The following is a 25,787-nucleotide window of genomic DNA, read 5'->3' as shown; positions in this document are numbered from 1 at the left end:
AGACACCATCCTTGTTTCTACTGTAATTGGTCAGTCTCTGTTGTTAACGGAGTTACTACAACAACCTCTGTAGTAGGCAGAGTAATGGGCCCCCAAAGATGCAAGTTCTAATCCCCAGAATCTGTGACTATGATACCTTACACGACTGTGTAGTTGTGATGAAGTATCTTAATATGTGGGGATTATTCTAGATCAACTAGGTGGGCTGAATGTAATCACATGGGTCCATATAAGAGGGAGACAGGAGGGAGGTTCAGAGGCAGAGAAAGAAATGCAATGGTAGAAGTAGAAGTGTGTGTGTGTGTGTGTGTGTTTGTATGAATGAGAGAGAGAGAGATCTGAAGATGCTTTGCCACTGGCTTTGAAAATGGAAGAAGAGGCCACAAGCCAAACAATGTAGGGGGGCTCTAGCAGCTGGGAAAGATGAGGGACAAATTCTCCTGCAGAGGCCCCAGAAGAAACACAGCCCTGTCGACACCTTGACTTGAGAACCTCTGACCCCTAGATCTGAATGACAATAAATTTGCGTCACTTTAAGTCACTAAGTTGGTGGCAATTCATGACAGCAGCCATAGCAAACTAATGTAGTCACTAAAGTGCTCTCCTAAGCCTTTCTTTAATTTTTTCATCCTTTACCTTTATCATCCCCATGATTAGTTTTTCTCAACCATTCATAAGACCATATGACTGTAGCTATATAGATTTACTCACCACTCACCTTCTGACACACACTTCCAGAGACAGCCCAGGCAATTGTGTGATCTCTATTTGATTGTTTTTTTGTTTGTTTTTTGAGACAAACTCTTGCTCTGTCACCCAGGCTGGAGTCCAATGGTGCTATCTCAGCTCACTGCAATCTGCGCCTCCTGGGTTCAAGTGATTCTCCTGCCTCAGCCTCCTGAGTAGCTGGGATTACAGGCACCCACCACCACGCCTGGCTAATTTTTGTATTTTTAGTAGAGATGGGGTTTCACCTGTTGGCTGGGCTGGTCTCGAACTCCTGACCTCGTGATCCACCCACCTTGGCCTCCCAAAGTGCTGGGATTACAGGCTTGAGCCACAGTGCCTGGCCCTTGATAGTAAATTTTTTTACACCAAAAACCTTAGACTTTTCTTTTGTCATAAAAAAAGCTTAGCTTAGCAAATTTCCTTTCACATAGAGGAAATTGGAAGTTCTATATGGCACCTGTAAAGTGTGTTATATGACATATGTAAAGCCTGTTACATGGCATATGCAAAGTGTGCTATATGGTACATGTAAAATGTGTTTTGATAGCACATATAAAGCCTGTTACATGGCACGTGTAAAGCATGTTATATGGCACATATAAGGTGTTTAGATAATACACGTAAAGTGTGTTACATGGCACATGTAAAGTATGTTCTATGGCACATTAAAGCTCTTCATTTCCCTCTTTTACTTGCTTTGAATGGAATCACATTACATCTATTAGATTCCATAAGTCACACACACACATATATCCATATATCAAATTAACCATATGCAAGCTACATATGCGTATTTGCAGAACTAGGTAGAAAATGTATATTCTTTTCACTCAAGAGGAAGATATGTTTTCTGATAATATCACATATTGGGTTTACTATTCAGGGAGCTATTTTAGAAATAAATTTTATGAAAGTCAACACCCCTTTTAAGCCCTTTATACAAAGAGCAAATCACGCAAAAGATAAAAACTGTTGTGCTTATGTAATCAATTGAAAATAGCAAGAAATGAAAAGAGGTGATTGGCAAAACAAAATGCTTTTGCAATCTTGGCTTGATTAAGCCAGAGTATCATTACTAATGTTGAATGGTAATTTACCCAGTGTTAGCACAAAACGAGGTTAGGAGTTTATTTCTGAATTTTAAGCATACAGAAAGAACATTTGATTTCATTTTTGCTGCAAACTAGCAAAACTGAGATGATTTTGCTGGTTTAAAGCACCTTCTACTTCTATTGTGCATCACAGTGAGTGGTCAGTGGGTGTATCAGCCAGGGTCCTTGAATCCAATCCAGCAGGCCACCTGCTTTTGTAAATAAAGTTTTATTGGAACATGGCCACACTCATTCATTTACGTATTGTCTGTGGCTGGTTTTTTTTTTTTTTTTTTTTTTTTTTTTTGGTACAACGGCAGTTGAGTAATTGTAGCAGAGACCATATGGCAGGCAAAACCTAAAATAGTTACTCCCTGGCCCTCTACAGAAAACATTCGCTGACCCTGTTCCAGAAGGAAACAGAAGGCACACTCCAGAGGGTTTAATAAAAATTATTCAGTGACGGAACTATTTACAGAGGTGTGGACGGGTTTACGGGAACCGTGAAAGACTGGGGTACACTGGGACTAACGATAGCAGGGAGCAATTTCCTCTTCCAGGCCTTCCAGGCTGGGAGGAAGCTGTGTACCGGAACTGGGCAGAGCTGCAGGCATGAAAGAAGGGCCTGGGAGGGAAGAGAAGAATATACAACCCAGCCTCTTGTCTTAGGCGGCTCGGGCTGCTGCAATAAAAAACCCCAGACTGGGTGACTTCAACAACAGAAATTTATTTGTTCACATTTCCGGAGGCTGGAAGTCCAAAATCAAGGTCCAGCAGGGCTCAGCCTCTGGGGAGCTTTCTCTTCCAGGCTTGCAGATAGTTGCTTTGTCCTTACATGACCTCTCCTCTGAGCTGTGTGTGGTGAGGCAGGGAAGGAGGGAGGGAGAGAGTGAGGGAGAAAGAGAAAGAGGGAGAAGGAGAGAGACAGATCTCTTCCTCTTCTCCTAAAGCCACCAATCTCGTAGCATTAGGAACCCGCCCTTATAACCTCATTTAACCTAAGTTACTTCCTGACTCCAAATACAGCCATACAAGGGGTGAGAGCTTCAAGATAGGAGTTTTGAGGGGACACGTGTTTAGTCCATATCACCTCTTTACCTCTCATCTCCTGACGGTGTCTCCCCCTCTCATGGCCCAACCCGACAGGAAGCCAGAGGGTGGGGAGCCGAGATGATGCTGTCTACGTAGAGCAGCCTCTGACCACAGAGTGGGGAAGAGAAAGCTGTACTATAGATGGGAGGTGGGGAAGGGCAGGGAGGCAAACAGAGAGCAATCAAGACAAGGGAGAAGTGTAGAAAATGTAGCTGAAGAGAAAAAAAGTTGCTTATAGAACTGTCCATGAGGAAAATGAGAATATGCCTTGTTTTAAAACCTCAAAGGACTGATTCACACTCTTATTTAGTGGAAATACATCAAGAGACTGCAAGCTTAACTTTCTCACAAACACATACATCTAAAAATAGCCTTTTGGAATCTAATTTATTGGTAAGCAAAGGATTGCAGCATTTGACTTACAATTAAGGTGTCACCTCCAAGTTAATCATAGGTCCATGGTTTGAATAGCTTAGATTCTCAACTTTCCAGAACATTTAGTAAGCGCTTGTGAAAAAGCTAAGAGCTCTGAAGGATAGAGGGGTTTATAGAAGATGTGAGACTGGTACCCTAATGCCTTCGTCAGGATCAGTATGGAGCAGACCCTCAGGACTGCAGAAGCAAGATCAATTCCTTTTGACAGGAATGACCAGTCAAAGACATGATGCAAAAGGCAGCATTTAAGGTACTCTTTAAAAAAATTTTATTATTATTATACTTTAAGTTTTAGGGTACATGTGCACAACGTGCAGGTTTGTTACATATGTATACATGTGCCATGCTGGTGTGCTGCACCCATTAACTCGTCATTTAGCATTAGGTATTTCTCCTAATGCTATCCCTCCCCCCTCCCCCCACCCCACAACAGTCCCCGGTGTGTGATGTTCCCCTTCCTGTGTCCGTGTGTTCTCAGTGTTCAATTCCCACCTAAGAGTGAGAACATGGACTTTTGTTTTTAACTAAGGGAACAAAGTCCTTTGATCCTTAAGGGGGTTTTGAGCCCAGCCTCGGTGTAGTTACCATTTATATCCACAAGATGGCAGGCACGACCCGGGAAGAGCCTGCAGTAGCCACCTCTGGATTTCAAGGTCTCCAGGCTCAGCCAGCTGGTGAGGTCTCTTGAGTCTCAAGAGAGGTTAGTGGGCAATGGCTTAGAAGCTGGGATTCAATTAGTAGCTTTTCCTATGTGGGAAAAAGCATCAGATCAGAGGACAATAAAGTAGCTAGGAGAAGTCATGAGGACCTGAGAAAGGAGGTAAGCAAATTAAAGCAAAATCAAGCAAAATCTGGATAGAGGAAGTAGGGTCATTTTAATAAAGAGTTGTTGCATGGCGAAAAAATCACAGGGACAGGCGGAAGGTCGGAGGAGCCAGAACGCCGGGTTGGAAAGTGAAAGGCTAAGAGATAAACCAGGCAGCAGAATGGAGGAAGTAGGGAAGAGGAGAGGGGCGTGTCAGGACAGCCAGAAGAGGTCTGAGCTTACAGTGCTATTCCTGCCCTCCTGTCCACATCCCTTGGTATGTCAAGGAGGGTTGACTGCTAGGATGGATTCTGACTTATTGGATCTTGGAGGAGGAGCAGGAAATAGAAGGCACAGAATAAGCCAAATCCACAGCCAATTCAGAGAATGGCAAACACTTCATTTTTAAAAAATTTAGATTCAAGAGCCACATGCACAGGTTTGTACTATACTGCATAATGCTGGGATTTGGACTTCTACAGAACCCATCACGCAAACAGTGAACATAGTGCCCAGTAAGTAGTTTTTCATCGCTTTCCCCTCTCTCTCTGTCCCCATTTTTGGAGTCCCCAGTGTCTATTTTTTCCATGTTTATGTTCATGTGTATCCATTGTTTAGCTCCCACTTATAAGTGAGAACATGTGATATTTGATTTTCTGTTTCTGTGTTAATTCACTTAGGATAATGCCTCAAGCTGCATCCATGTTGCTACAAAGGACATGATTTTCTTCTTTTTATGGCCGTATAGTATTCCATGGTGTATATGGAATTTTCTTTATTCAACGCACCATTGATGGGCACTTAGGTTGATTCCATGACTTTTTTTTGTGAATAGTGCTGTCATAAACGTAAGAGTGCAGATGTCTTTTTGACAGAACTGTTTATTTTCCTTTAGTAGATACCCAGTAGTGAGATTCCTGGGTTGAACGGTAGTTCTAGTTTTGGTTCTTTGAGAAATCTCCATACTGTTTTGCCTAGAGGTTGTACTAATTTACATTCCCACCAACAGTGTGTAAGAGTTCCCTCTACCACTGTTTTTCTCTGATGCACAGATATAACTATCTCACTCCAAATGTTTTACTTTTTTTTATTTTTAAGATCCAAGGTCTTGCTCTGTCATTCAGGGTGGAATGCAGTGTGAAATTATAGCTCACTACACTGCCACATCGATCTCCTGGGCTTAAGTGATCTTCTTGCCTCAGCCTCTTGAGTCGCTGGGACTATAGGCATACACTACTGTGACCAGCTATTTTAAAAATAATTTTTAAAAAAAAATTTAAAAAATAATTTTAAACTATGTTGCCCAAGTCGGTCTTCAACTCCTGGCCTCAAGTGATTTTCCTGCTTTAGCTTCTGAAAGTGCTGGGATTTCAGGTATGAGCCATCATGCCCAGCCCCAAACATTTTATTTTGTAATCAACCTCCAGTTATGTATACATGGCCTTGGCTTACTTCAGGATTTCAATGTAGTTTAGAGGTGTTTGCATTCATTAGAATCCCCCAGACATCTTAGATACCTACTTACCCCCAGTACAAATGGAGCCCTGCTTCAACCCAGAGTGTGAACCACCCTGCCAGTCCTCTTCTGACCACTTTAAAGAATGTGCTAAAACAAATGCACTGGGCAGTGTCAAAGAAACACAATTGGACATTAGTTAAATTGATGAAAAAAGATTGTGTTCAGTAACTACTGACAGCATTAGTTTGTTTCCTAATCAGAAGTACACTCATGTTTCTCTATTAAATGATTACCAGTGTTGATAAGGGGTGAGTTAGGCTAGTCACAGTCATTTCTAAAGTTATAAAAAGCCATGGGGATATAGTTTTAGAAGTACATCTAGAATCTGTATGACATTAAATCTCTAAGGAATCTTTGAAGTACTCTAGTATAGTCTAGTTCTGTCTGAATAGCGTTGGCTTCCCCAAGAGCACTTATCTATTAGGGGTGAGTGGGATTGGTGGAAGTCTGGTTTTGATAGCCATCTTGACACAATACACATGGTCCATAAAGAGCACTGTTCTTTGGAAATGAACATACGGAAAAACACAGGTGTTCTGACATGTTGGCCAGGGTGATTTGCCACTTCATCATACTGTGGGTAGGAGTTTGAAATATCCACTGCTGAACATTTTGAGGTTTTAAAATTAGGATGGAAACCAAGTTTTCTATCAGTGGAATATCTGTATTCTTCCAGAAATTGAGCTTCATATTCTTGCTTCCAAGTCTCTGCTCCATCCTTTTTATCACCACTGCTTCTCTTTGAGGTTTTCTTTTTGGCTCTTAAGACATCTCTCACACTCTTGCCACACTGTTAGCCTCTGACTGCTCCCTTCAGTCCACTTTCCACTGGGCCGTGGCCTGCAATTCACTCCTACCTTCCTCTTCTCTGAGGCTTTTCATATCTCACTTGATATTCAATGCCGTGGATTATATTTGCATTTTTTCTCCTTTTAACATAAGGGATCCTTTCCTTCAGATCCAATTACTGGAAGAGTATAGATATATCATAACAAGTCTGTTATAAAATCAAGAAAATAGAAATAACTAGAAACACTTAGATGGAAACCCAGTTTTGGATTAGCTCAAGGGAGCTACATTTTACCAAAGCAGTTTCTGCTTTTAATCTTTGTAGTGGTTGCAAAATTCCTACTTTCTTCTGCTTTGACCTTCTTGATGCTAAACTTTCCTTTTCGGATACATGTAGTAGAGAGGGAAATTAGGGCAGAAATGATCATCTTGCATAATGTCACAAAGGAAGAGTATGAATAGCAACAACGCTCAGTATTATAAAACTGTCATTGGTCATTTATTTTTATAATCCTAATTAATTTCCATGGGGATTTTTTTATGTTATCAAGAAAGAAAAGCAAAGGTTAAACCTTGGGAAAGTATGCTAATAATTTAGCTACAGGAAAGCTGAGAAGGAAGCACACCTAAGACCGTAAAACTCTAGGCTCAGGATCTACTGATTTTAATTTTGTGATAATTCCCGTAGGATTTGACTGAATTGTTTTTACATCAACAATTTGCTTAAGCAAACCCATTCATGGTTGACAAAGGTTCAGGGTTGTTTACTAGCAGGGTCCTTTATATACATAATTGACAAACACTAATCATAAAGGACTATGTGTCTGTTTGTTGTAGGAGATTTTCTAAAGATCTTTGCCAGCAGACTTTTGCTAGTTCAGATCCAGTTGCTGTGTGTATTTGAGAATAGCAGCTGCTTTTCCTTCAAGATATTTTGTTTATTTATTATTTCATCAAATAAACATTTGACTACTTACAAGTAAATTTATTAATTTAGAGTTTTCTAATTAGCAAAATATTATAAAATTTACCGAGTTTAGGCGAATGTAAGTCACTAGGTAAATTCGCTGTAGGGTATTAAAAATAACGTTACCTGGGTTTTTGTACTGAATGCACAACTTATTAGTTGGGTGACGGTGGGCAAGTCACCTAAGTAGCCTCTTCCTTAGTTTGCTTAGTTGTAAAATGAGGATGTTATCTACCTGCTTGCCATCTTAGGATTTTGGCAAGGATAAAAAGAAATAATTTGGCCTTGCATGATAGCTCATGCCTATAATCCCAGCACTTTTGGAGACTGAGGTGGGAGGACTGCCTGAGCCCAGGAGTTTGAGGCCAGCCTGCACAACATAGCAAGATCCCATCTCTACAAAAATAAATAAATAAATAAATAAATAAAAAATTATCCAGGCATGGTGGCATGTGCCTGTAGTCACAGTTACTTGGGAGGCTGAGGTGGGAGGATTACTTGAGCCCAGGAGTTTGAGGTTGTGGTGATCCATGACGGTCCCACTGCACTCCAGCCTGGGGGACAGAGCAAAACCCTGTCTCAAAAAGAAATAATTTTTGTAAAAATTTTTTTTCTGAATTGTAAAATGTTACATAATTGTGAATACATTGGCATTGGCCTTTGGCAGCTAAATTGGATGATATAATGGTGTATTTCTCATCTAACTTCTACTATTTTCAGCTTGTTTGTAGGACATTAGAAATTGAAACTGTCAGCAAAATTATCCATTTGCATTTCCAAAATAGCACCTGGAAAAATCTCTTATGCCCAGGTTGACCATAGTGAGGCACTGAGGCTCCTGGAACTGTCTTGCTGGAGACATCACAGCTTGTGGGTGGTCAAGTGAAACAGTCTTCCTGGCCTGCTCTGAGTTCTACTAGACCGGGAAGTGTATATCTCGTGTCCTGGGTGTATCTAGTCTTCAGTAACTAGAAATTATTGCTACTTACTGACCTTTGTTATTGTTTTCAGATGAATAATTTAAAAAAATACATAGTAATGTGTCCTTTAACAAAAAAGATGCATTCTGAGAAATGCATTGCTAGATGATTTTGTTGTGTGAACCTCATAGGGTGCACTTCAGAAACCTAGATGGCAGAGCCTACTGCACATCTAGGCTAGATGGTGTAGCCTATTGCCCCTGGGCTGCAACCCTGTACAGCATGGGACTGTATTGAATACTGTAGGCAACTGGAACACAATGGTAAGTATTTATGTGTTTAAACATATTTAAACAAAGAAAGGGAACAGTGAAAATAGGGTATTCTAATCTTATGGGACCACTGTTGTATATGTGATCTCTCATTGACTAAAACATCATTATTTAGTGCATGACTGTATTTGTATTTGTTGTGTGCTATGAACAATGTGACCAAAATGATTTTAAAAGTAGCATAGACATCCATTATGCCCCGTTGAGAGATAAGATTGATGTCTTGAATGTAGACTTTTCCTGCTTTTCTGAAAGAAATTGATACCTGTGGCTACATTCACATAAGCCATGAATATATTTACAGAATGATCAAATTCACGGCATTTGTAAATATGTTTTAGCAAGCAGAGTGGGTAGACCAAGAAAGGCTATCTTTCTCACCTCACCCTTGTTCAAATGTCCCAGGAACTACAGGATTTATGCAGGTGAAATCACACTGAGTCCTGAGGGCACAGCTGTGCTGCCCCATGAGATAAGCACTTATGCGCTAGAGTATTGCATTAGTCATGGTTCTCCAGAGAAACAGAATCAGTAGGATGTGTGTGGGTGCCTGCCCAGTGATCGTTATCTTAAGGCATTGACTCACATGATTATGGAGATGCATGTCCAAAATCAAAATCATCAGAGCAGTTCAGAAGGCTGGGGTCCCAGGAAAGAACTGACATTGCCACTGAAGCCTGAAGGCCGTGTGCAGGTGAATGATTTCCTTCTTGCTGTGAGAGGTCAGTCTTTGTTCTATTCAGGACTTCCACTGACCAGATGTGGCCCACCCATATCATGGAGGATGCTTTACTCAAAGCCCACTAATTTAAACTTTAATCTCATCCAAAAAACATCCTCACAGAAACATCCAGAATAATGTCTGACCATATATCCGGGACCCATGGCTTAGCCAAATTGACACAAAAATTAACCATCACAAGTCTGCTGTTGAAACATTTCTGTTGTGGTCCCTGTGACCTTTAATCTGCCTGATTGCATCAGGAGAAGTTTATAATCTCTGCCAGCCACTCTGAGGTAGGTGGTGGCAGAACAAGGTTAACATCAAGAAGGTAGTGGCTATTGTCCTGGATGGGACTTCAACTATTTGTCTTCTGACTATGCAGTTAGGATGAGATGCATTCATGATGTGCCATCAACAGCTTGCCCAGCAGATGCTGAGTCACGTGTGATGAAGACAGACAGGTCTGGGATAAAGAAATATTACTTGAATCTACTGAGATAAAATTTCAAATAATTGAGTAATGGGACTGATTTTCAAATAAGTGCATTTCTCCCTGAAATTTTACTCAAGGAAGTAAATAGAGTTTGTGTGGCTTGGTTAGTTTGGCATTTATGGCATTGCTTCTGCTTTAATAGTTACTTAGAGATAGTCATTTAGAAGTTATACTAAGTTTACATAAAATTGAATTGATCTCACTCAAACACATGTGAGTGTTCTGGGAGGGGTGCTGTGCTGTAATGGACTATTGATAACCAGCAACGCTAAATACAGCCATGCAGCTGAAAGCTAACACTTAATTCTGTTATTTGGCTGCCAGCTGTCCAAAGAAGTGCTTTCCGAGAATACTTTTCATTTGTCAAATTATTGATGAAATCACCACCATCGTTTCTACTTTTAGGGTGCTTGGTTTGGAAGGACTGAGTAAGGATGTGTACAAGCATTCATCAAATGAACTATTGAACATATTGCTTTTAAAGTTAAGTTTCATAAATGTCTATTAATTGCAGTCCCCTTGGTGCTATTTATGTTCTGATTTGACTTTGAATCCTCTGTTCACCACACACACCACATACACTGGTTTCACTTAGAATTTTTCACCTTTATAGTGGTGCTAAAGTGACCTGCGGTCAGTAGAAACAATATTTTGAGTATCCATACAATCATTATGTTTTTCACTTTTAGCATAGTATTCAATAAATTACATGAGATATTCAACACTTTATTTTAAAGCAAGCTTTGTATGAGATGATTTTGCCAACTGTAGGCTAATGTAAGTGTGCTGAGCACGTTTAAGGAAGGACAGGCTAAGCTATGATGTTCAGTAGATCAGGTGTATTAAATGCATTTTCACCTTACAGTGTTGTTTATCAGGACTCATTGCAAGTCAAGGAGCGCCTGTATATATGGTATTAATTTGCCCTATTATATGGTGGTGACATTGATGGCTAGTCCCAATGTAATGATTTGACAGAAGATACATATTACTCAACAAAATGTCTCATTTTAAATATTAGGTTGGTGCAAAAGTGATCGCGGTTCTAACCTAATAGCAAAACGTTTGTCAGAACACAGAATACTGACACTGTAGTTCAAATTAAACATCGGATCTACAGTGGTTTATTCGGAGTTGAGAGTCCTGGGTCTTCCGAAGGTTTCACATCCACTATTTGAATATTATTATATTTGGTAGGTGCCAATTACATTTGTTTTATAGGCAAGGTCATCTTTCAAGTGTTGGTTTCCTGAACATCACAAATAGATCAGTGATAAAGATTGGCCACAAAGACTACATCGAGTCATATTCAAACATGGGAGCTCAGCTATGGGCTATTGGAAAAGCCATAGCATATGTGACTCATATGCCACACAAAATGGTGGTAGGATGACTGTAATTTATTTCAAAATGCTTCAGCAGAGAGAGTATGACATAAATGAGTGTATTAGTTCATTTTAACTGACCATTCCAGTAATCCCATCATTTTATTAGAGCCACACTCCAGAGGTGATTATTAAAGATCTTGAGCGCTTTTATCTACATCAACACTGGAGGCTTTTCTCAATGGTACAATAATGCTAGAAATACATTTTCATTGCTAAATTATGTGATTTGTTAATTCACATAATGGGTTATGCAAATGTGTTAAAAATAGACACCCCTTACTATTCTAGATCATGTGGCTTAATCAAATTATATAAAGACTCTCCTTTCCTTTTGTACTGATTGGATTCATGAATCTAATGAGGACTCACTAACGTTTCTCTCCTTTTACAGACCTGGGTCCAGACGTTGGGAGCAATCCGGTGGCCTGATGCAGACTGAGCTTAATAGAATATTTTGTATAGAATGTGTGGCACTTGCCTTGGATGAATCTATGTGGTTGGATCACCTAAAGCGATACTCATTGAGCTTACAATACATGTCATAAACATGCTTCTTTATAAACGTTTGTTTCATAAATGTTGGGCTGTGTGTTCTGAGGCTTGCGTTCATTACGACTTAGTAGCAGAGTTGTAGAGGCGCTAACCCTCACCCACCTCTAATCCTCAGGAACAACCATTATCTACTAAACTTAACTAAGATATTTGTTCAAGGTGGGCGTTATCTGTCATCACCCAAGAGGATAATACACTGTAAATGTCATAGCAAGTTGGTGATTTAAGTCACTCAAAATCCTGCTGGTAGCATAGACCCTAAGGATTTTGTTCTTAGACGAATCCAATCGGATCATAATCCTCAAGGGGAATAGTCTTAATGTAGGGACCAGAAGTGTCCTTGGAAGCACTTAAACATTTCAGAAATCAGATAGGCATATGTTTGAGAGAGTGATAAGACAGAATTGCATCTAATACTACTTAGTTCTATCCCTAATATTTGTGAGGCCCACATACCGTATGTCCGAATATTTAAAAGTTATAAGCTGAGCTAACAAACTTTTAAATAAAATATTTGTATATGCTCCTTCTATCTTGCCAAATAGACCTTCAAAGTGGACTCTGTGATGTTCTGGAGGCAGATGACAGTGAGGGCTGTCCTGTCACCTGGCCCCTCCTCTTCTACCCCTGGTTCCATCTCTCAACTACAAAGTTCTTGCATAAGTATGGGCACCCAGGCCCCAGCCATAACCTGTCAAGACCAGCTATCACGTGACCACCCCTCGTAGCTGGGTAGTGCATCTTAGCCCTAGCAACTGCCGTCAGGGTTGTTAGGGCAGGTATCAAGGTTGGGTTCTCCACAGGCAAACTCAGAAATTGTGATCACTGTCCATGAGATTTATTTTGGACTTCTTTTGGGATCAGCCTCTGTGGAAATGAAGGGCTAGGGGGAAGGAAGTTTGGGCACAGAGAGGAGGGTTGTGATGCAGTGTCAGTAGAAGCCTCTGCTGATCCCAAGGGAAGCTCTGGAGCTTGGATGGTCCTTCAGGGTTGTCCTAAGCTGGGGGTGGGCCTTAGTACTTCAGCCACTGGTTGTGGGCTGCTCCAGGAAGGAGTGTGACCTTGGGTGAGGTGATTTTCTTGGTGGAAGTAATTTTGAGGGCAATGAGCACTAACGGCAGTCTGCTGCAGCACACAGCTGTTGGGATAGCCAGTCCTTAGTCCTCAGGGCATCTGGGTGGGGCACACAGCATCCGCCCACAGGTGTTTCTAAAGTACCGAGCACCTGTCATGAGACCAGAAGGAGTAGTAGAGATTCTAGCTGGGCACTGAAGCTTCAGCCCAGACTTTTTGTCTCAGGAAAGAGGACAGTTGGGGAAGAGCTGGAGCAGGCTTTCTCAAGAGTGGGCTGTCTTATTCTATTCCAGCTGCCATAACAAAATACCATAGACTTGAGAGATTAAAGAACAAACATGTGTTTCCTCATAGTTCTGGAGGCTGGATGTCTGAGATCAAGGTGTAGCATGGTAGGGCTCTGGTGAGGGCCCTCTTACTGGCTTGTAAATGGCCATCTTTTTATTGTATTCTCACATGGTGGAAAGAGAGAGCTCTGGTCCCTTCTGCTTCTTATGAGGGCACTAATTCCATCATGAAGAGTGTACCCTCATGACCTCATCTAATGCTAACTACCTCCTGCAAACCCCACCTTCCAAATGCCATCACACTGGGGATTAGGCTTTCAACATTTGAATCTTGAAGGACACAAGCACATAGTCCCACAGCAGGGGCCCCTCGCCTGCTTATACCTAAAGGTGATACTGAACACAGTGGAAGGCTGTTCCTATGAGTGAATGTTTGTGTCACTCCAAAATTCACATAATGAAACCCTAACCCCCACTGTGATGGCATTTGGATATGGTGCCTTCAGGAGGTAATTAGGTCATGCGGGTGGAGTCCTTATGTGATCAGAATTGGTTCCTTCTGGTGGGTTCTTGGTCTCGCAGACTTCAAGAATGAAGCCACGGACCTTCGCAGTGAGTGTTACAGCTTTTAGAGGTGGTGGGTCCGGAGTTGTTCGTTCCTCCTGGTGGGTTCGTGGTCTTGCCGACTTCAGGAGTGAAGCTGCAGACCTTGGCAATGAGTGTTACAGCTCATAAAGGTAGTGTGGACCCAAAGAGTGAGCAGCAGCAAGATTTATTGTAAAGAGCAAAAGAACAAAGATTCCACAACGTGGAATGGCACCCGAACCAGTTGCTGCTGCTCACTAGGGTGGTTTGCTGGGGTGGCCAGCTTTTATTCCCTTATTTGGCCCTGCCCACATCCTGCTGATTGGGCCATTTTACAGAGTGCTGATTGGTCCATTTTTACAGAGTGCTGATTGGTGCGTTTACAAACTTCTAGCTAGACACAGAGTACTGATTGGTCTGTTTTTACAGAGTGCTGATTGGTGCATTTACAAACCTTTAGCTAGACACAGAGCACTGATTGGTGTGTTTACAATCCTTTAGCTAGACAGAAAAGTTCTCCAAGTCTCCACCCGACCCAGAAGACCAGCCAGCTTCACCTCTGACTCGTGGTGGCATTAGTGCCCTTATGAGAAGGGATATGAGAGAGCTTGCTCCTTTCTTTTGCTGCCATGTGAGAATACAGTGAGAAGGTAGCCATCTGTGTACAGAGGAAGGGAGCCTTCACCAGAACTCACCCATGCTGGCACCCTAATCTCAGGCTCCCAGCCTCCAGAATTGTGAGAAATAAATGTTTGTTGTTTAAGCTGCCCAGTCTATGGTATATTTGTTATAGCCCCTGAGCAGACTAAGATAGATGTTATGGGAAGTAGCCTTTTGAAATTCATTGCTGTTTCACTATAGGAAAGATGTAGAAGATGTTGTATAGTGTTTTCTTTCTGGGAATGGATGAGAGAAATTTCTTTGTGATCTTATTTTCAGGAATAATAGTTGCTTCTAAGCGCTTGGTTATTTTCACTGTACAGCCACTGTAACTCTTAATACCTGACCCTCTTTCCTCCTTCTGGTTGGCTACTAGAAAAGCCGAAATCCAAATTGGTGGTACACCTCTAGAAAATATATAAGACCTCAGGAGATTTGTTTAGTTTATAGACTTCACTACTGGCTTCATCTTCTCTTTCTAGTCTTCATTATTTCCTTATCTTAATATCTTCACCTACTCATTAAACAATAATAGGAATAATAATGATGATGATAATATATGTTACATGTATTTGTGTAAGAATGTAAATCATTTCTGGAATTAAGTGGGCATCTGAAAAAATATAACACATACTTCTTCAAATATTCTTTCTGTATCACTCGCATTTTTTCTTTTCTGGGGCTTCAATGGTATGAATGCTCCACATTTTGATACAGTTTTACAGATCTATGAAACTCTGTTCATTTTTATCCCAATCATGTTCCTCTCTGTTCTTATGATGGAAAAATTTCAATTGATCAATATTTAAATTCACTGATTCTTTCTTCTGCTATCTCCATTCTGTTACTGAGCTCATTTAGCAAACTTCTTATTTCAGGCATTATTTTTAAAATTTATCGTTTTAAAATTTTCCATTTGCTTCTTCTTATATGTATTAGTCCATCTTTACACTGCCATAAAGATAATACCTAAGACTGGATAATTTATAAACAAAAGACGTTTAATTGAACCACAATTCCACATGGCTGGGGAGGCCTCAGGAAACTTAACAATTGTGGCAGAAGTAGAAGTAGGCACATCTTACATGGCAGCAGGTGAGAGAGAGAAAGTGAAGCAGGAAGAGCCCCTTATAAAACCATCAGCTCTCATGAGAATTCACTTACTATCATGAGAACAAGATGGGGGAAACAGCCCCTACAATCCAATCACCTCCCACCAGGCCCCTCCCTTAACGCCTGGAGATTAGAATTCAGGATGAGATTTGGGTGGGGACACAAAGCCAAACCATATCATTATAGTTCCTATTTCTCTATGAGAATGTCTGGCATTCAAGACACTTTACCTCATGAAGTACAGTTATGATATCTCCTTTAATGTCTTTGGTGATTTTGAAATCTAGGCTATTTGGGGTTTTCATCAATTAATTGTTTTTGCACTTATGAATTTTTCATGTTTCCTTGGGCCTTTATATATTGAGTGATTTTAGATTACATCTTAGATATTTTCAATATTGCATTGTAAAACTCTGAGTCCTATTAAAATTCTCTGAAAAATGTTGAGTTTTTGTATTTATTTTAGCAGACAATCAAACCAATTAGGCTCAGACTGTATGTTCTATCTATCTTTCTGTGGATGGTAGTTATAATGTCATTTGAATTTCAAAGCCTTTGCTATAAAGGCTTGGTCCACTGAGCAGTTGGCCTAGACTTGGATGGTGGTTTATATTGTAGTTTTGATCTTAAAGTCTTTGCTATGCTACTTTGTGTCTTTTCCACATGTGTCTCTCAAGAGGGAGTCTAGGCATTGTGCCAGTTTCTACATGGAATTAGGGGATGTGCTTCTCCAGCTCTCCTCATTCTGGCAACTGGAGTCACCCTTGGTGCAAAGTGGCAAGAGGAAAAAAATTTCTGTTCTATTCTTTGGAACACAAGGTCTCCTTTTCCTTGCTCCTCAGGTCAGAAAAAAATGGGTTGATAGTTTCGCTGCTGCCCTTGCTATGCAGTTCCATGACTGGGGCCACCCTGTTTTCAAAGCATGGAGGAGAGACAGAAAAACAAATACTGCTAAACTCATCTGTGTATGGACCGCCTCTTCAAGTTTCGACTACTTTCTTCAATCTGTCTGCCATTAGTTAATTTTCTAAGGCCTAATGCTGAAGCTTTTTCAGTCCTGGATTTTAGTTGTCAGTGGCACTGGAAATCCTCATGGAATGTTGATGTTGCTCATTGTTAGGAATATGAGGGGATCCTCTTAATATTTTAACTGTTGGAACCAAGAAGATATATTAGAAAAATAAACTATAAATGAAACACAGAATCAAACTTGAGAATGCAGTCAAATTTTGACTTGCCTGCTTGCAACAGAATCATTTCTTACAGAACTGGCTCTCAACTTAAAGGACAGATTGGGTTTAAGGGCAAAACCCACAAAGATATGGTAAGTCTGTACATCATCTTGTTTATTGAAAAAACAGTAGTAAAAGTGGTAAAAAGTGGTTTATTACTGACTTTGGGTAAAAGTCAGTAATAAATTAATTTTCCCCTTGGGAGTAAGAAACTTACATGAAATGGACCGAAGTTGTCTTGTGTCTCAGGGAATATGATAAAGCAGAAATATGGTCAATTCAAAACAAAACAAAACAAAGCAAAACACTCCTTTTTTTGTAGTTTTTTATTTTTGAAATCCAAATCTTTCAGTATATGCCATCGATATGCTTGTATAGTTATAATGGTGGACATAGTAAATAGCTATAGGCATTTTTTTCTGAGAATAAAATAATCAGAATTTTGGTGGAACGAACAACAATTTTCAATAATATTTCACAGAAGAACATTTTAGAACTTTATACACTGTAAAAAATTCAGTGCTAGGCAATAGGAGAATAATAGAAATAGTACGTGAATAAGCACTTATTGAATGATTACTATGTTCCAATTACTGTTCTAGGAAATATCCATGCTCACAATAATTCCATGACATGGTTATTATTACCCTTACAGTGTAAAAAAGGAATCTGAGCCATGAAGACCTCATAATTTACCTAAATATAGCTGATAAGCATCAGAAATGGAATTTGAAAACAGACAGTCTGAGGTCAGAGCCTGTGCTTTTAACTGCTGTACTCTATTCAAGTGGAAGTATCATCATATGATTAGAAAGTCAAAGTCAGTGTGGTATAATGGAATCTAGGAGTCAGATTTTAGGCTTGGGCTGGCCACAAATTAAGTATGTAACCTTGAAAAAGTCATGCTATACTTTGGCCCTCAGTTTCCTTATGATCTCTAACTTATCTTCCCACTAGAAGAAAATATAGAAGAATATCAATCCTTGGAAGGGGTAATGAGTTTAAGCATAAAAAGAATCTATTCGTTCTGCAATTAGTATGGCTATATACTCTTTGGGAGTTGAGGATACAGAGTAAACAAAATTAATAAAATTGCTGATTTTATGAAGCTTTCATGTAAATGCAGAAGGCAAACAAGTAAATACACAATAAACACATAATACAATGTTAGATAGGAATACTCTAATTAAAAATAAAGTAATTATTATGGGTTAAATGTGACCCCTAAAAGTTCATGTGTTGATAATCCCCAATCCAACAGTGTAGAGAGGTGGCACCTTTAAGAGGTGATTAGCTCATAAGAGCAGAGCCCTGAACTTGCCTGCTTGCAACAGAAACCATTACTTACAGTACTGGCTCCCAGCTTAAAGGACAATTTAGATTTAAAGGGGAAAGCCTCAAAGGTATGGTGAGTCTGTTCATTATTCTTTTTCGTGAAGAAACAGTAAATATTCTATGTGGTAAAAGTCAGCAATAAATTAATTTTCCCCTTGGGAGTAAGAATGGATTAATGCCCTGATCATGGGGATGGATGAGTTATCACAGGAATTCAGCCTCCTTTTCCCCTCTGTCTTGTATACTCATTTTTGCCTTCCACCCTCCTGGCATAAGATGACCCTAGCCAGCTGCTATTGCTCTGCTCTTGGATTTTCCAGCCTCCAGAGTCATGAGCCAAATAGACTTCTATTCTTTATAAATTACTCAGTCTGTGGTATTCTGTTGCAGCAACAGAAAACAAACTAAGAGAGTAATGTTGAGGAATAGAGAGTGATGTTTGTTATATTTAGACAGGATGTTGTTTCTCTGAAACAACATTTGAGTAGAGATCTGGATAAAGTGAGGAAGCAAGCCATGTGTATATTTGTCAAAGAGCATTCTAGGCAAAGAGAATAAGCATTTTTGTGCACAAGTTTTTGTACAAGGATCTCAGTCTGAGCGTTTCTGTAATATAGGTTTAAAAATTGAATAATGTTTACAAATATAAAGTCTAACAAAAATTAGTGAGTTTATGCTTATTTCTGAAAAAAATTATATAAATTTGAAATAACTTATTCCATTACCTTTAAACATTTTATTAGGGAAGAATTTCAAAGCTGACTTTTATTTCAAATGTTATATGAAGCCTGGAGCCATTAGCTCTGGGTCAGAAATATTTGTTCTTGTTTTTTGCCAAATTTGATCAAACCAGGAAGCTTGCCATCAAAGTGGAAGCCATATTGCCTCCAACTTCTGAATGAAAATGAGAAGGAAAATATATTTGGAAAACAAAATATATTTCATTCCAAAATAATAGAATATAGTTCTTGAGTGATTGATAGAAACTGACCTAAAGTTAAGTAGAGTGAAATTGGGAATTCCTGAGGAATGGGGAATAGAAAATGTCCAATTATTATTGGCTCCTGTGGGGCACACAGAGACTATTTAGGAAGAGGCAGTGGCTAGAGATGGCTTTCATGTTCCTGGTATTCTTGTTACTTAATATTTTTGTCAAACAAATTCTCATAGGCTGCCTTGAAGCCCTTATGGTTTTTGGACAATTTATTAAGAATAACACGTAATGTAACAATTTTTTTTTTGAGATGGAATCTTACTCTGTCGCCCAGGCTGGAGTGCAGTGGCATGATCTCAGCTCACTGCAGCCTCCTCCTCCTGGGTCCAAGTCATTCTCCTGCTTCAGCCTCCTGAATAGCTGGGATTACAGGCACATGCCACCACGCCTAGCTAATTTTTGTATTTTCAGTAGAGAAGAGGTTTCACCATGTTGGCCAGGCTGGTCTTGAACTCCTAACCTCAAGTGATCTACCCACATCAGCCTCCCAAAGGGCTGGGATTACAGGTGTTAGCCACTCTGCCTGGCCCTGTAATGATTTTTAGATATCATAGCTTTTGCTAACATATTTGTGTTTTTTTCTCATGCTTTCTATGTAAATAAAATGGTTTTCCTACATAAACTTTACTGTACTAAATAGCCCTTTATATATTTGTATTAGTCTGTTTTCATGCTGCTGATAAAGACATACCGGAGACTGGGAAAAAAAAAAGAGGTGTTGTTGGACTTACAATTAAAACGGAGGCCTCGGAATCATGGAGGGAGGTGACAGGCACTTCTTACATGGTTGGGGCAAGAGAAAATGAGGAAGAAGCAAAAGCAGAAACCCCTGATAAACCCATCAGATCTCGTGAAACTTATTCACTATTACGAGAATAGCATGGGAAAGACCGGCCCTCATGATTCAATTACCTCCCCCTGGGTCCCTCCCCAACACACGGGAATTCTGGGAGATACAATTCAAGTTGAGATTTGGGTAGGGACACAGCCAAGCCATATCCGTATTATAAAATAGCTCCACATGCTTTTTCTCATTTGATCCTGACAATTCTTTTTAAACCATTCCTGAGGACAGAGCCCTCCTGGCCTAAACATCTCCCATCAGGCTCCACCTTCCGACACTGTTGCACTGGGGATCAAGTTTCCAACACATGAATTTCTGGGGGACACATTTGAACCATAGCAACTGGTGATAAAGAATACAGGACTCACTAATACTGCAAGCTCCTCAGCCTTCCTTGGGAGCTGCCTGCACACAATTGCTTGCCAGATGCCCAGGGCTTCCTCTGGGATGCGTGATCTGCCTGGGAAGAATGCGTCCCCACAGTGGCCAGTGACCCAGTGTTCTTTGCTACAGCTGCTTAATTGCTTTAGTGTGCATCACTTCTTGGGGCAACTCACCTCTCTGATAGGCATTTTCTTTCCACAGTCCCATTTATATAATTCTTCTCAATACATTAAGTACTGGAAGTGGAAGAACAGCCAGAAACTATTTCTTGCAGGTCTCTCAGAGAAACCTATTCCAGATCACTTGCTATTAAGCAGCAGAACTGGGACTCAAACCCCGTTTTCTCTAACTCCAAATTTGATGCTCTTCATCTTGATAATAAGCTATAGTAGATTTGTCAAAGTACATAGAAACTGTGACTTCCCTGGTGTTACGTGGTGGTGGAGGTAACAAGAAATACAGAATTTTTTAAAAAAATTATTGCCTAGTGTTCTGTTACAATCATGCAAAATCATGGTTGCTTCAAAAAAAGAGTAAGCTTCAGAACTCAAAATGAAGGTGAGGGTGTTACAATGACCTCAGGTGGCTTGGTTTTTGCTGATCAGCCTCAACTGATGTTTATCAAAAGCCATGGCCCCAGAATCTGTTTGGATTCCTCCCCAAGTGTGTATGTCTTTATGCAATGAGAACCTGCTTGTCCTAAAGGACACTGATGGCACCTGCTGCTAATTTTGATTGAAGTTATTATGAAGGCACTTCCTTTTTCAGATGTGATCTGATGCTTGGACTCTCACAGTACTGGGAGTCCTGACTGTACATCTCTCAGCACCTCATGACCTCAAAACCTGCTAAGAGTTCTTGCCTGGTCAGCTTCTGCTCTGTGGATATATGGGCCAGAGGCGTGCCAGCAACGTGTCGGCTGCAGATGGCTTCCCACATGGTGGTTAAATTTTCTTTCAGTGTTCTCCCTTTTTGCCCTTGTCTCTCCAATGCTTCCCTATTGATTTCAAGTTAAAAATATTTATTTGAGGGAGAGAGAGACAGAGAATAGAAATGAGAGAGAAAACAAACTCCTGGATACATTTTAAACCTCCAAGGTAGAATCCTCTTTGAGCCTTTAGGATAGTGCCTCTCAAACTTTAATGTGTATACAAACCACCAGTTTGTATTACAATGAAGATTCTGATTCAGGACTTCTGGGGATGGGCCCTGAGATTCTACATTTCTAACAAGCTCCCAGCCCACGTCAGTGCTGTATGCGCATTGCTTGCTGTACTTCGAGTAGCAAGATTTTATGATATATGAGTCTATACCACTACCTTCAAACTTGCTCAGTCAAATCCCCCTCTTCTGTACTTTACTCACATCTGAGCCAGCCAGTAACCTTCAGGTGTAAAGAGTCCAGGCCAGGACAGTGTTCTCTGCTTTCCCAGGTCTCTTCCCTCTTTGGGACCCCCTTTTCCTTTGGGAACAGCCACAGGAAAGAGGGAGATAGAAGGGGGCAAGTGTTTCTTCCTTTGATTGTGTCTGTTATTCCTGCATCTCTGAACAGCTATCAAAGCTCTGCATGTGGCAGGCTTCTAAAAGTTAGGTCTCTATTGGCACACGTGTGAGTTTCTTTGTAGGGACTTTCAGAGTCTCCCCATTGTTCAATTCTTTGACACAGGATATATTATTTAACATCAGATTGCATGTTTTGGTGACTTAGAGACCCTACGAAGAACTCAAAAGTTATCACTGGTTTTTTGGACCACTAGTCTCCCTGTGTTGCACCCTGCAGCTGCCTATATTTGAGGGTCGCCTTGCTTGGCAGAAAGCTCTTGGGTGGGTACAAGCAAGACTACTCAAGCCCTCCTGCACTACTGTGACATGGGTCCTTGCTATAATAGCAATGTGCTTCCTCCTTTCTTTGGTCTGCCTTTTCCCCTTTCCTTTTTTTGTTTTTCTTTTGCTGCTTGGCTACATGTAGAGTAGTCCTGGCTAAGGACTGGTGTGGCAATACAGTGGATGCCAGCCTCACCTTCTTGCAGCTGCTCTCAATCTCAACAAGTCATCTCTTGGAGTGTCTCCCTTCACTGGTTTCCAGTAGGGATGAAAAATCCTCAACCCTACTTTCCAGGGAGAGCTCCATTTATAAATGCTATAAACCAAAAATAAAATTCTAAACTTTACAACTAACTGAATGCACCCCTTCTCTTGGCCAAGGGCATTCTGAAGTTAACCTGAAACACCGGTTTAGGCCATCATGGGAAGGAGGGGTTGGACATACCTCATAATACCTTCCTCCCTTTGGAATTCAGGCACAGCTGATCAGCATTAACATTAAACCAGACCTTAAGACTGACCAAACAGACTTTTTGTAGCGATAAAATACCAACATGAGAGATAGCAGGCCCTGCAAGAAACTGAAGTATTTTACCCTGAGATATATTTCTTTGACATATTTTGAAATGGCCTTGCAAAGCTGTCTCTTGTGGGGAAAATCTACATTCTATAGAGAATCCTCTTCCCTTTCCAGGTCTTTTTGTTGATCCAAGAGATAATTAACTGAGTCCAGTACCTTTTTACGTCTGATTACAAACATTTACTATCTATTTTCTCTGAAGCCTGCCACCTGGAGGCTTCATCTGCATAATAGGGACCTTGGTGTCCACAACCCCTTATCCTAACCCAGACACTCCTTCCTATTGATTCCAGGTCTTTAGGTAAACTCTTTCAAGCAATTACCAATCAGGAAATCCTTAAATCCCCCTACCTATGACCTAGAAGCCCCCTCCCCCAACAATCTCCATCACCTTCGAGTTGTCCTGCTGGACTGAACCAATGTACATCTTACATGTGCGCTGATATCTTATGTTTCCCTAAAATATATAAAACGAAGCAGTAGCCCAGCCACCTTGGGCATATGTTCTCAGGATCTCCTGAGGCAGTGTCATAGGCCACGGTCACTCACATTTGGCTCAGAATAAATCTCTTCAAATATTTTACAGAGTTTGATTCTTTTTGTTGACAGTGCTACCTAAGCCATCCCTGCTCTGATTCCCTTACCTTGCTTTCTGGCCTCCTTTTCAAAGCTGGAAAGAGGATGTGAGGCTCAGTTTCATTTACAAAACTCTTGCTAAGCCTTGGAAGGGTGTCTGGGTCCAAATCGTTTGCATCTCTTTAAAAAATCTAGCGTTGATTGCTTCTTTGTCTCTTGCTTTCCCTCTCAGCAGGGGTAAGATCAGAAGTCCCACTCAACCTCTTGAGCCATAGTTATAACTGCCTTTGTTTTGCAGAAGCAGGGCTGGGGAAAAGCTGTAAAAAGTGATGAGATAATTTAAGCTTGTGCCTTCTGAGGTCTTGTCTGTGGGATTAAACCTTTACAGAGCAATAGCTCTCAGTCACTAGGAGGTGACTGGGTGACAGCATTTACTGAGAACCTTATGACAGTATCTTGTTTATTTATTTATTTTTGTTTTTTTTTTTTTTTTTTTTTTTGAGACAGAGTCTTACTCTGTTGCCCAGGCTGGAGTGCAGTGGCGTGACAACAGCTCACTGCAACCTTTGCCTCTTGGGTTCAAGTGATTCTCCTGCCTCAGCCTCCTGAGTAGCTGAGACTACAGGTGCCCATCACCACGCCTGGCTAATTTTTGTATTTTTAGTAGAGACAGGGTTTTGCCAAGTTGGGCAGGCTGGTCTCAAACTCCTGACCTCAGGTGATCTGCCCGCCTCAGCCTCCCAAAGTGTTGGGATTATAGGCATGAGCCACCGCGCCCAGCCCAGTATCTCATTTAATCCTAACCACAAACTTGGGAGGCAGCTTCTGTTATTTAAATTTCATGTTAAGAAAATACACTTGGAGAGATTAAGTAATCTTCAAGAGGAATTGTAGCTACTAAGCTACTACTTTCAACCCATGTCTGTGTGACTCCCTAACCAAGTTCTTAAGCACCATGCTAGGAAAGATTCCCAGTGCAACTTGCTATAAGACATGAGGTTAAATTAACACCGAGGTGGGGGTGCGGGGATATAACCCTTTACTCCCTGTGAATTCCCCTCCCCTCATACATGAAGGTATAGAGATTATTCGATTTGTTAAAAGTCAAGCTTTATTTTGTTAGAATGCAGCCACCAAGGTTTCAAATGATGCAAGAAAGTATTTATTCCAAATGTTCAGTATAAACTAATCCATGTCTTAGAATATTCAGGAACATTTTTCCCTTCTGAATTAATCCTAAAATAAACCTTACTTTTCTCATGGAATGGTTTATGATTTAATTAATTCTGTTTACACAGCAAGGTTGACCATTATTACTAGGTTGAGAAAAATAATAGGCTAATTTTTTGGTTAAACATCTTAAATGATTCAAAATGTGGATGCATTGTTTTCATTATACTTGGGCCATTTGATTTTATAGGTACTGCTTAATTAATAGACTATAGGGTTACTTTCATTTTCAGAAAATAAATTTCCATGGCATCAGAGATGTTTATGTAAACCATTTGTTATTCCTTTTAGTTGTAGCTGTGTCATAAATAATCAATACATACTTTAGAAAGAAAGGCCCAGAGGAACAAGGTATAAGATTGCATCCTTATGTAGAATTGATTCTGAAGTGAAAACGCAAAGGAATGTGGGAAAGGAGTGGTGGCATTGTAGAAACACAAGTCCAGTCTTTCTTGGTGACAGTTTAGGTGGGAATTCATGTCTGATAGGCTTTTTGTTTTTTGTTAAAACCTGCTCATTTACTGACAGTTTGCTGAGTGCCTACTCTGTGCCATGCTAGTTGCTAGGGATATGGGCAGTGCACAACACAGACACAGGCCTGTTGAGGGAGCTCAAGGTCTCTCAGAGGACATTCAAACCAGCAACCAGAAGAATAGAAAAGGAGAGGTGGATAAGGGGCCATGGGTACATAAAAGGCTATGGAGAGGGTGATCATTTATTGAGCAAACTGAAGCAATTCTGAAGATGAAAAAGAACTTTCTTGCAAATTATGCTGGGATGACTGCATAAGCTGGAAATGTTATGAGGTCTCCACTGGGGATGGGGTCAGGGAAGTCTGTCCCAAAAGAGTCACATTTCAGCTGGAGACAGATGGATGAGTAGGAGTAAGCCTAGTGAGGGGCATGGGGTGGGGAGTCCATGTTCAGGGAGGAGCATGTGCTCAGGCCTAGAGCTGATTAAACCAAAAGACATATAGAGGCTGGAGATGAGATGACAAGCAAAAACATGAAAGTAGGCTTGAAAAAAATTGGAATCTGTATGTATCAGTTCAGTTCTCTGTCTCTTTCTCTTACTATCCCATTGTTGTGTTTCAACATGTTTGGGTTCTACTTTCTTCATTTGTAAATAGAGATAATAATATTTAACTCACAGGGCTGCTCTGAGACTAACTGTAATAATTTATAGATGTTGTCTGACACAAAGTAGGAGATCTAAAAATGTTTATTCTTGTAT

General features: G+C 40.5%; 1 annotated feature.

Annotated features, from left to right (window-relative positions):
* Positions 23,290-23,804: an enhancer, noted in NCBI's record as "OCT4-NANOG hESC enhancer chr18:5038078-5038592 (GRCh37/hg19 assembly coordinates)". NCBI's record gives its function as "activates a minimal SCP1, AML or CMV promoter by ChIP-STARR-seq in primed H9 embryonic stem cells {active_cell/tissue: H9 hESC(primed)}" and the evidence as "EXISTENCE:reporter gene assay evidence [ECO:0000049][PMID:30033119]".

This window comes from Homo sapiens, chromosome 18 (genome assembly GCF_000001405.40).
Source record: "Homo sapiens chromosome 18, GRCh38.p14 Primary Assembly".
In the NCBI taxonomy this organism is placed as follows: domain Eukaryota; kingdom Metazoa; phylum Chordata; class Mammalia; order Primates; family Hominidae; genus Homo; species Homo sapiens.
Note: the sequence above shows the minus strand (reverse complement) of the source record. Positions and strands in the feature narration are given on the sequence as shown.